Source organism: Homo sapiens, chromosome 12 (assembly GCF_000001405.40).
Source record: "Homo sapiens chromosome 12, GRCh38.p14 Primary Assembly".
NCBI classification, from domain to species: domain Eukaryota; kingdom Metazoa; phylum Chordata; class Mammalia; order Primates; family Hominidae; genus Homo; species Homo sapiens.
The window spans coordinates 51,703,932-51,716,141 of NC_000012.12; the positions used below are offsets into that span (position 1 = coordinate 51,703,932).

The 12,210-nt window shown below is 39.8% G+C and overlaps 1 protein-coding gene and 1 pseudogene across 4 annotated transcripts in view; one reads left to right on the forward strand and one right to left on the reverse strand.

The window, feature by feature from the left end:
• The window catches only part of SCN8A (sodium voltage-gated channel alpha subunit 8), a 221,632-nt gene that overhangs the window by 112,699 nt on the left and 96,723 nt on the right, over window positions 1-12,210 (forward strand). For all 4 annotated transcript variants that reach the window (NM_014191.4, NM_001177984.3, NM_001330260.2 and 1 more), the window contains exons 10-11: window positions 1,486-1,692; window positions 2,491-2,784. In NM_014191.4, coding sequence (NP_055006.1) covers window positions 1,486-1,692; window positions 2,491-2,784 — 501 coding nt within the window. The remainder of the gene's footprint in view (window positions 1-1,485; window positions 1,693-2,490; window positions 2,785-12,210) is intronic.
• HNRNPA3P10 (heterogeneous nuclear ribonucleoprotein A3 pseudogene 10) lies at window positions 8,556-9,725 on the reverse strand (annotated as a pseudogene).

Below are 12,210 nucleotides of genomic sequence, written 5' to 3' on the forward strand. Positions count from 1 at the left end.
GTCTCGCTCTGTCGCCCAGGCTGGAGTGCAGAGGCGCAATCTCTGTTCACTGCAGCCTCCAAACAATTCTCCTGCCTCAGCCTCCCGAGTAGCTGGGATTACAGGCATGACGCACGCACCTGGCTAATTTTTGTATTTTTAATAGAGACGGGGTTTCACCATGTTGGTTGGCCAGGCTCGTCTTGAACTCTTGACCTCAGGTGATCCACCTGTCTTGGCCTCCCAAAGTGCTGGGATTACAGGCATGAGCCACCGTGCCTGGCCCATTTTGTGGTTAACAGAATAAAGATGAAAACTGTGTAATAGTGGGTTGCATGCACATAACCTAAAACCTAGTTTCCTTCTGCCTTTTTTTAACCTCCCCCACTATCCTTTATGTCATATTGTCATATCCTTTTAAAACTCATCCTATTGCAAAAGAATAAGGAAGGGTGTCACTCAAGATGGGGATTTCCTGGCCGGACACAGTGGCTCATGCCTGTAATCCCAGCGCTTTGGGAGGCCGAGGCAGGTGGATCACTTGAGGCCAGGAGTTCAAGACCAACCTGGCAAACCTGGTGAAACCACATCTCTACTAAAAATACAAAAATTAGCTGGGCATGGTGGCACATGCCTGTAATCCCAGCTACTCGGGAGGCTGAGGTGGGAGAATTGCTTTAACCTGGGAGGTGGAGGTTGCAGTGAGCTGAGATGATGGCACTGCACTCCAGCCTGGGTGACAGAGCAAGACTCCACCTACAAAAAAAAAAAAAAAAAAATGGGTCCGGGCGTGGTGGCTCACGCCTGTAATCCCAGCACTTTGGGAGGCCGAGGCGGGTGGATCATGAGGTCAGGAGCTCAAGACCAGCCTGGCCAACATAGTGAAACCCCGTCTCTACTAAAAATACAAAAAAATTAGCTGGGCATGGTGGTGGGCACCTGTAATCCCAGCTACTCGGGAGGCTGAGGCAGGAGAATCGCTTGAACCTGGGAGGCAGAGGTTGCAGTGAGCCAAGATCGTGCCATCACACTCCAGCCTAGGTGATAGTGTGACACTTCATCTCAAAAAAAAAATAAATAAAATAAAAAGATGGGATTTCCTTCAACTTGGACCTGATTTCAGAGACATAATTTGTCTGTTAATGCTGTTTGAGGATCTGTAGATAAATAAACTGCAGTCTTGTATTCTTTTCTTTATACTTGTCTTAGCCCAAAATCAAACTTTTTTTATGAAAGAAGTGTATGGGGAATATTTAGAAATGAGAGGGGATTTTTTTGTCACAATGGTTGGGAGATAACTACTGCCATTTAATATGAGTTGAGGATAAGTGAAACCATTCAACCATTGGGAGTACCAAGTGCCCACAATAGGAAGGAGTACTGCACAAGGAAACAGTCCTGTACAAAATGCAAATAGTGCCCTTACAGAGGAACTTGGCCCATTAGCTGTTTTCAGCCCGGTTCATTTGGTACAAGTGACTCAGAAAATGGCCTTTGTCTTTGCAGACTTTACGAGCAGCCGGGAAAACATACATGATCTTCTTCGTCTTGGTCATCTTTGTGGGTTCTTTCTATCTGGTGAACTTGATCTTGGCTGTGGTGGCCATGGCTTATGAAGAACAGAATCAGGCAACACTGGAGGAGGCAGAACAAAAAGAGGCTGAATTTAAAGCAATGTTGGAGCAACTTAAGAAGCAACAGGAAGAGGCACAGGTTGGTGATGAATTCTTTGCAATAGACCTTCCTGCCAGATCATGGTGACTAAGACCCCATCTGATTTTCACTGCAGTTGATCTTTTCTAGGCATATTTTCAAATAGAGGCCATTGGTCTGATGAAAATAACCCAAGTAACAACTGCAGATGGTTGCTCCAATTATTCCATTTGTCTTAACAGCCAAATTGTTTGTTCATATCATCTTTTGTTGAATTGCTCAACTGTTCAGTGTGCAACCGCCATGATGACTGGGAAGAAAAAAGTGACCAGGGCAGTTTATATAGTGTTTCACATAAGCATATTCTTTTTCTTGGGAGAAATGTTAAGATTCCTGTGGTCATAAAAAGTATTATTTCTAATTAAAAAGAAGATACAGGCAAAATATTAAAGTAAAACTTGAAAGACATTTGTGATCTCATCACCTTAACACTTAACTTTCTCATCCTTATCTAAATGTACATGTATTTATACATTTTTAGGACCCATAATATATAATGTTACTTAGCATTCATTTCCAGACTTGCTCAGAAGGGATCCTCTGGTACCAAGGCAGCAGTCAAGTTCTTGTCTGAAATGCTCAAGAGAATAACTCCCAAAGTTCTCACCACTGGGTTCTGCTCTGTTCACTTAGGGCTGTGTGCCAGAATACACAGAAACCCTCTAACAGTCTAGGTTTCCTGCCTCCTTTTTTCCTCCTTTCCCTTCAGTAGGGAAATGTTCTGTACTAACTGGTTGGCTTTGGGTGGCTCCAGTTAATTGCCCTGGTCTGGCTTCCCTGCTGTGGCTTCTTTCCTAGGCTGCTGCGATGGCCACTTCAGCAGGAACTGTCTCAGAAGATGCCATAGAGGAAGAAGGTGAAGAAGGAGGGGGCTCCCCTCGGAGCTCTTCTGAAATCTCTAAACTCAGCTCAAAGAGTGCAAAGGAAAGACGTAACAGGAGAAAGAAGAGGAAGCAAAAGGAACTCTCTGAAGGAGAGGAGAAAGGGGATCCCGAGAAGGTGTTTAAGTCAGAGTCAGAAGATGGCATGAGAAGGAAGGCCTTTCGGCTGCCAGACAACAGAATAGGGAGGAAATTTTCCATCATGAATCAGGTAAACTCTTCTTTTTTCTATACCTTTTTCAAAAATGTATTTTTTATTAAGGTAAAATGTGTATATGTATATTATACCATCTTTACCATTTTAAGTGTACCGTTCAGTGTTAAGCACAATTATATTCTTCTTTTTCCTCTTTCATCCCCTCTATCCCCTCTTCTTCCTGGCCTCTAGTAACCACCAGTCTACTCTCTACCTTCAAGAGATCCACTTTTTTAGCTCCCACGTATGAGTGAGAACATGCTACATTTGTCTTTCTGTGCTTGGCTTATTTCAGTGAACATAATAACCTCTGGTTCCATCTATGTTGCTGCAAATGATAGGATTTCATTCTTTTTATGGCTGAATAGTATTCCATAATGTAAATATACTGCATTTTCTTTATCCATTTATTTGTTGATGGGCACTTAGGTTGATTTCATATTTTGTCTATTGTAAATAGTACTACAATAAACATGGGAGTGCAAATATCTATTTAATATATTGACTGACTTTCTTTTAGTTATATACCCCATAATGAAATTGCTGGTGTATTATTCAGGGTTCTCTAAAGGTATAGAACTAATAGGATATATTTATATATCTATTAGTATATAAATATATAAAGGGGAGTTTATTAAGTATTAACTTACACAATCACAAGGTCCCACAGTAGGCTGTTTGCAAACTTCAGGAGCAAGGAGAGTGAGTCTGAGTCCCAAAACTGAAGAACTTGGAGTTGGATGTTCGAGGGCAGGAAGCATCCAGCATGGGGGAAAGATGTAGGCTGGGAGGCTAGGCCAGTCTCGCCTTTTTACGTTTTTCTGCCCGCTTTATTTTCACTGACAGCCGATTAAATGGTGCCCACCACATTAAGGGTGGGTCTGCCTTTCCCATCCCACTGACTTGACTGTTAATCTCCTTTGGCAACACACCTCACAAACACACCCAGGATCAATATTTTGCATCCTTCAGTCCAACCAAGTTGACATGCAGTATTAACTATCACATTGGATTATATGGTAATTCTATTTTTAGTTTTTTGAGGAGCCTCCATACTCTTCTCCAAACTCATTGTACTAACGTGCATTCCCACAACAGGTAAACTCTTTGCATTGGCTCAATAAGCCTAAAAACATCTGGTTTTTCTAATCCCACTTGATTTTTGTTTTCCCCTTTGGCCCTATGTTTTCCAGGCCCATCCCTGCATCCTCATTTCTACCTCACTATGCTCCATATTGTTCTCCTCTGGGAGGAAGTGTTACCAGCACATTTGGAACATTCTCCATTCTAATCCTGCCCTCCCTTCTCTGATGTAAAAGCCAACCCTAGACTATGTGATCACCTTTGGCAGACTTGCTTGGCAGTAAAGTATATGTCACACCAGCAATCTTCATGTTCTAAAACATCAGGGAGAGCTTTTCTCCTCTAAGCATCAGAATTTAGCTCAAACATCTCTGTTTAAGAATTGCATTTAATTATAGGGGATAATAATAATAGGAGTCATGAAACAGGACATCTTATTTGAGCATGGCAAGTTCTACTGATTAATTATTCTGGATATGTAGTATCACACTGATAAGTTAGCCTATGGTAGATTGAAAGCCTCCAGTTTTTCCCAACTTTGATAAATAAGGAAACTAAGCAAAAAAGAGAAGAGAAGACTTAGGGTAATTGTTGAGCATTCTGTTACTATAGATGTCATCACATAAATAGGTATTTTTGAATTTCAGAGAACACCACCAAAATCTAATTCTTAGGCCATTTAATTTCCCATTTTAAAGAAATGCTGGAAAGTTGGTAGGTATAGAATAGATTATAGTTACTGTTTATGGCAGTATATCCAGTGTCTTTTCTTTTTTCCCAGAGATGATTCATTTTCCCACTTGCATCTCTCACTTTCCGGTTCAGTCTTTTGCCAGTCTTATTCATTTCAGGGGATGAGCAAAATCCCTCATGTCCATCCCTTTCTTTCCATTCCTTAACCTTATCTTAGTTTTGGCTTTACAATTGTATTATTTTGTTCTACTGCGTTTGTCCACTGCAGTTTTGTTTTCTGTAGTCTTTCTCCTTCTCCTTTGTATTTTATATACTGTCAACAGATTACGTCCTAAAATGTAGTTCTCATCATTCATGTAGTAGGCATTTATGGAGTACCTACTACATATCAAGGATTGTACTAGGTCCTAGGGCTTAAAAGGTGATTAAAACATCATCCCTACCCTAGAGAGCTTACAGTACAGTGAGACAGCTGAATACACTAAAAAATTATGTAGTAGCATGTGTTATTCCATAATTGAGATATGCTGGGGGTGTTAGAAAAGCACAGATCTATCCCAACATGGAGATTCAGTAAAGATTTTCTGGGAAAGGTAAATTTCTGAACTGAAGCTTAAAGGATAGACAGGAATTAGGTAGTGTATGTGTGTGTTGGTGAGGGAACAATAAGAAAAAAGGGATGGTCTAGGTTTAGAAGGGAAGCATATTCCAGTTTAGACATCCAAAGTTTGAATTATTTGTTGGATAACCAAGTACAGATTTTTTTAGACAAGGATAGGCAAATGATAGCTCAGGGAAGAGGTCCTGAGCTGAGAGGTGGTGATTGAAACCATGAGACTTGTGGAGATTACTCAAAGAGAATGTGTCAGTTGGAAGAATAGTGAGCCAAAGGCATGACCATTGCTGTTCACTGGCATAGAGATGGAGTTCAGGAAAGAAAACGGATAAACAGTGTTAGAGAAGCTGAGAGGGCCAAGAGTTCAGTGAAGTCAGGAGAGTAGCGATGTTGGAGAAGGCAGGGCCATGATCAATGGATTGAAATTTAACAGAGATGCTTAGTGAGCTCAGAATTGAAAGTGTCCATCGGATTTGGCAATATAAAGTCATTGAGGACTTTAAAGACATGTTTTAGTCCAGAGTAAGGAAGGATGCCATGTTGAGTGGGGAGTGGAGACAATGAGTATAGACTTCTCATCCCAGCTTCTTTAAAGAGTGTGGGTGGAAATAAGCATGTTTATACTTTGTGGAAGAAAAAAAAACAGAAAAGGGAGACGTGTTAGAAAATGAAATAGAATAGATAGAAGTAGAGCACAATCTTGGAAGATACCGAAATAGATGTGGTTTTTAACAGAAAAGGGACCCTTGTTCCCTGAAACCTTAAGAAAACAGGGAAGGATGAGGTGGATAAATTTGTAGAAAAGGAGTAGGAAGTTGAGGAAGATAACCCCTGACAGTTTAGTGTTTTGATAATGTTGGGAATTAAAAATCAAGGAGTTTGAGATCAGCCTGGGCAACATAGTGAGACCTCTGTCTCTACAAAAAATGAATTAATTTTTTGATAATGTAGGGAATTAAACATCTTATTGAAGGGAATGAGAGGTTGTGTTTGGAGGTTTAAAGAAAATATTGACAGTTTAGAATAGTTTTTAAGAAGAATGGGAGAGGGAATTCCCCTAATCAGATTCATTCTATTTACTAATTAAGTCCCAACTCCTTACCCTGGAATTCATAGCATTCCCCATCCCCTTAGTACGGTTACAACCTATGTGTTCATTCTCCAGTCTCTGTGCCCCATCAAGCACCCTATACCTGAACCAGAATGAGCTACTAGATATTTCTCATATATGATGTTTGTTTTCTACCCTCTGTGGTTTGCTCAAGAAACACCCTCTCTAAAATGTCCTGTTGGCCAGCACAGTGGCTCACACCTGTAATCCCAGCACTTTGGGAGGCCAAGGTGAAAGAATCATTTGAGGCCAGGAGTTCAAGACCACCCTGGGCAACATAGAGAGACCCCTGTCTCTACCAAAAAATTGGCCAGGCGTGGTGGCCCATGCCTGTAGTCCCAGCTACTCCGGAGTCTGAGGCGGGAAGATGGCTTGAGCATGGGAGGTTGAAGCTGCAGTGAGCTGTGATCTTACCACTACACTCCTGCTTGGGCAACAGAACAAGACCCTGTCTCCAAAAAAACAAGAACAAAAACAAACCAAAAAATTAAAATTAAATAAAATGCCCTATTTTTCTGTCTTTGAATTTCTGCATCATAGTTATTCTCAATATCTTCCTTTCAAGAAACCTTCCCTGACTCTCCTGTTTTCTAGTTGGAAATCTTCATTTTATCTTTCTGTTATGTTTTATATGTACCTCTTTATTTGTTGCTTTTTACTCTACATATAGAAAGTACTCTACATATACTCTGTGTGCATATTTATTTATGCTCATATCCTCTTCTCTCTAAATAAAGTGTTAAAGTCAAGGTCTGCTTCTTAGCACATGGCTAGATATTGTTAGACAAATGAATGCAAGACTTTTAGAAATTTGATTTAACCCTTTCTGAGAGACTTCTTTATAGCCTGAAGCCATCTCTATCTCACCTTCACCTCTCCTTTCTTCTAGTTCAGCCTCTTTTGGGGAAAGTATGATAGTAGCTTTGTTGTAATTTTACCCTTGTCTTGAGAGACTCACTGAGCTATGAATACCTTAGCGCTGTTAACGCTTTGCTATTGAATGGTCTCTGATTATTCTATAGGCTTTAGTACAAAGGTACACTGATTGCTCCTTAACTCAAAAAATAAAACCAGGTTTTTGAGATGCCCTGCTGTGCATGAAAATATTCACTTAGTCTAATCTCTCCATTCAAAAAAAATAGTAAATTCCTAGAGGCCAAGGCTGACTGCCAAGAGTAGCTTAAGATGCTACAAGGGATAGTAGTATTCTTTGTCCCAGGACTTTCCTGCAGTTTCTCTGGAAGAGTGACTGAGGAAATCGAGGCCTAGAAAGAATCACTTATAACTATAACTAGTTATAGAAGGTTATATAACTAGTAAGTGTTCAAGCCAAGATTTGAACCCAGGTTCATCCAACTCCAGAGCCTGTGCTCCTAACCACCCCTTCTTTATTCCTGCACACGTACATGATCATCTCTTCTGTTAGTTTAACAATGAATGTGGCTTCAGTTTTCTCACAACATAGTTCAGTTATGTGTCAGTTTCTTTTATTTCCATAGCTTCTGAGTTCTTTTTTTTTTTTTTAGAAATTTTGAGATTTTTTTCATTTGAAGGTAATCGTAATGCTATTAAATTCACAAATGCTAATTTAAATATTCAATCCTATTTATCTAAAACACACATTGCAAACACACAAATTATCTATTCTCTCCACGTCAGTACCCATTCATATAGTGGTTTGGAAATGGGGAGAATAGATTCCCCTTAAACTGCAAGTCAGCAGGTGTTTCTTTACAGTTAACTTTAGCAAAATTCATACAAAATAGTAATTAACAATGATCTTTACTTGTTAACTCACAAGGAAACACCTTCAAAACTGCATTTTGTTAAAGTTTCTGTACTAAAATGTAGAAAAACTGAACTACATAAATATTGAAAAGTTAAAAATTCCTTAATTTTTAATTCCTGGTACCACTACCACAATTTACAGGGCAATATACCTGATGTAATGAAAAGAAAAAGAAAAAGACAAGGCTACAACAGATAAAAAACCTCAGGAATGTACATCTAATTGACACTACATTGCATTAATCAATAGCTGCACTTCCTGCAAACTGTGGCTATGGTAGTCCTGAACAAGAAGGGTTTCCTGTTTAAGCTGCAGTAACTTTTCTGACTATGGATCATCCTTCCTTCTGTGGCAGATTTTTACAGTTCCTCTAATGCATTTGGGACGACTGTCTCAAAGTAACCTGCAGCTTTCCTGACAGCTCCTCGCGCTCTCTCCTGCTGAGAACTGTAGCCCTTTTCTGCTGTTTTTAGAACCTTCTGCTACTATATCCACCACTTCCACCACTAGATGCATAACCACCACCATAGGGACTGCCCGAGCTTCTTCCACCAAAACTTCCCCCTTTCATGGGTCCATAATTTGATTGCTGTTGTCCACTATAATTTCTAAAATCATTATAGTTCCCACCACCACCATAGTTACCACCGCCAAAATTTCCTCCTTCATTGTAACCATCATATCCTCCACCACCGCTACCATATCCACCACACCACCTTGGTTTCCATATCCTGGTCCACCACCACCATAGCCCCCTCTACTACTATAACCAGGACCACCAGCATAGTTGCCACCGTCACTTCCAAATCCATTATATCCACCATCACCTCCTCCATAACTACCTCTGCTGCCACCACCTCCACCACCATAGCCTCCTCTTCCACCAAAGTTTCCACCACGGCCAAAATTACCTCCACCACCTCCAAAGCTTCCTCCGCAACCCATAAAATTGCCAGATCCACCTCCACGACCTGTCCGTGATCCAGCGGACTGCATCTCTTGTTTAGAAAGGGCCTTTTTCACTTCACAATTATGCCCATTAATAGTGTGGTATTTCTGAACAACAATTTTATCAACTGTATCATGATCATCAAAAGTTACAAAAGCAGATCCTCTCTTTTTTCCACTCTGCCTCTCTTGCATAACTTCTATGGTTTCAATCTTGCCATACTTTTCAAAGTAGTCTCTCAAATTATATTCCTTTGTATCTTCTGTAATACCACCAACAAAAATTTTCTTCACTGTTAGATGGGCACCAGGCTTCACAGAATCCTCTCTAGAAACAGCTCTCTTTGGTTCCACTACATGCCCATCAACCTTGTGTGGTCAAGCACACATTGCTGCATCCACCTCTTCAACACAAGAATAAGTCACAAAACCAAAGCCCCTGGACCATTTTGTTTGGGGGTCTCTCATTACCACACAATCTGTGAGTGTGCCCCATTTCTCAAAATGTCCTCTTAAACTATCATCTGTAGTTTCAAAGTTCAGACTACCAATAAACAGTTTTCTCAACTGCTCTGGTTCCTTTGGGTCATGGCCCTCTTCCTGCCGGTGGCAATGTCGACGGCTGGAGTCGGACTGGGGGCGACCAGGCGGTGGTTTTACCTCCATTTTGAGCCTGAGTTCTTCTTGAGACATCTCCTGCTCACTCATCTCCGACCTATTTCTCTATATTTTTAAGGCTCAGGGCAGTTTATAAATATTAAGTTGAGCCTATTTTTTCAAAGTATTTTAATTGCTCTATTGCAGCAGTTTTCAAACTTTCTGGTCTTAGGACCCCTTTATCTTCTTAAAAAATTTTGAGGACCTAAAAACCTTTCTAAAATGTGCTTTTAATTTCTCATATTAGAAATTATAATTAAGAAAATTAAAAAATATTTACTAATTTTAAAAATATAGTAATGATAAACCCATTACATGATTAACACAAATTATATATTTTTAAGAAAAATGAACTGTTTTCCAAAACCAAAAAAAAGGGTTTTTTTTTTTGTATTACATTTCTGCAAATCTCTTTAATCTGTAATGTAATAGAAAACAGTTGAAATATCATACTGGCTTATGCATGCATTCAGTTTGTTGCAGTATGATTTTCTTTGGTTAAGGTATTTGAAGAAAATCAAGTTTCATACAGATATGTAGTGGAAAAGGGAGGAATATTTTAATAACCTTTTCAGATAACTGTGAATGTTCCTCCTTGATGCTGTTCCAAAACTTAACAGTGACAATTATTTAAACAGTTAGTTGTGACGTGGAAACTATAACAGTAACTTTGTACTCTGTTATAGTAAAATCCCTTGCTCCATTTTGTGCCATAGATCTTTAACCTGTGAATGATTTCTAGCATCATGCATTGATCATTTGAGAAATTTCCTGAGTTTATGCAAATCTTCCAAATACACACAAGATTTTAAAACTATATTTATTATTACCACCAATCTCATCATAAAACTATTTAAATATTATGAAACTGTCAGGCTCACAGTGTCACTGTGTGCTTATGAGAAGATGAGTGATAAAAGCACATATCATCTCAGTATTATTAGGAAAGAATTTTGACCTCATGAGCCTTCCTTAAAAGGTCTCAGGGACCTCCGGGGGTCTCCAGACCACACTTTAAGAACCAGTGTTATACTAGAAAGAAAAAGTGAAATATGGCATGGAAATAGAACATGTAAAATCACTCCTTCATCACATTCCAAACATCCCAGTCATGTAAGCCTCATCTTGACAGACAATTTACGTGTATCCCCTGAGATCCCTAGAGATAATTTTTCTGTGGAATGCAAAAGTTACACTCTCAAATCCAGAACATCCCAGAGCCATTCTCCCGAGCAAACATCTAAACCTAAGTTGGAATTCATAGTTTAACTGTGACTGCCTGAAAAGGACTAAAAGCTCCTGGTTGGTTGACAGGAAGATTTTGAAAAGAGGGAGTAAGGCCTACTCATCTCATAAACTACACAGGATCCCAGGATTTAATAGAGCCATGGATCCTGAGTCATCACTGAAAACCTCTAGTCTAGGAAAATTGAGATTGAGGAAGGGTTGGGGTTTCAGCCCTCAGGATGTAGCTCCTTAGGGAATGCCCTAAATCAGGATTGGATCCTGGGTACAAGGAGAAATGGAGCAAGTCACCTTTACCCCTTTCACATTTGTCCATTGCAGACTACTCTTTTGCAAAGAGTGAAACAAGGAATTAGAAAATAATAGAACAGTTTTTCCTCATATTATGTATTATCTTAGGATCCTGATTTTTAAGTGTTCATAGGTTCACTGAATTGGTCATAACCTTCATCACTGTCTTATCATCCTTATCACTATCCTTAAGGTTAAGAATAGTCTGATGTATTAGATCTCATGTAGTATATGATATTTCCTCCTGGCCTCCAAGTTTCAAGAGGGCAGGGACCATGTCATATGTCTCGTTCACCACTGTATCCACACCACTTAGCACACAATAGGTATTTGGTTAAATAAAATTAAATTTTGGCCAGGCACAGTGGCTCACGCCTGTAATCCTGGCACTTTGGGAGGCTGAGGTGGGCAGATCACTTGAGGCTGAGGCAGGAGAATAGCTTGAACCTGGGAGGCGGAAGTTTCAGCAAGCCAAGATTGCACCACTGCACTTCAGCCTGGGTGACAGAGCAAGTCTCTGTCTCAAAAAAAAAAAAAAAAAAAAAAAAATTATATAAAATTAAATTTTATTGTAAAATGCATAAAACCTCTTTCCTAATGTGAAGGCCTAATGTACCAGGTAGTATCAGCACCCAGCATTGACCTAAGGCAAAATTATGAATTCAGTGTAGTTTAGCTTGCTGTGAGAAGTGAAGCAGTGACCCCGTGCAGGTGTGGAACAACCCTAAAATGGGTGGCTAAGCTGCAGTACCTAATCTAAGTGCATGTTAATTAAGTTAAACATTGTAGTTACTATGTGCAAAGCACTCTGGGAGATATAAGGATGAATCAGTCAATGTGCCCTTAAGGAGTTTGTAGTTGGTTAAAAATGAGAGGTAGAACATGTATATAAAGAACTGTTGTAAAAAGTAGAGCGTAGGCTGGATACAGTGACTCACGCCTATAATCTCAGCACTTTGGGAGGCCAAGGCGGGAGGATTGCTTTAGCCCAGGAATTTGAGACCAGCC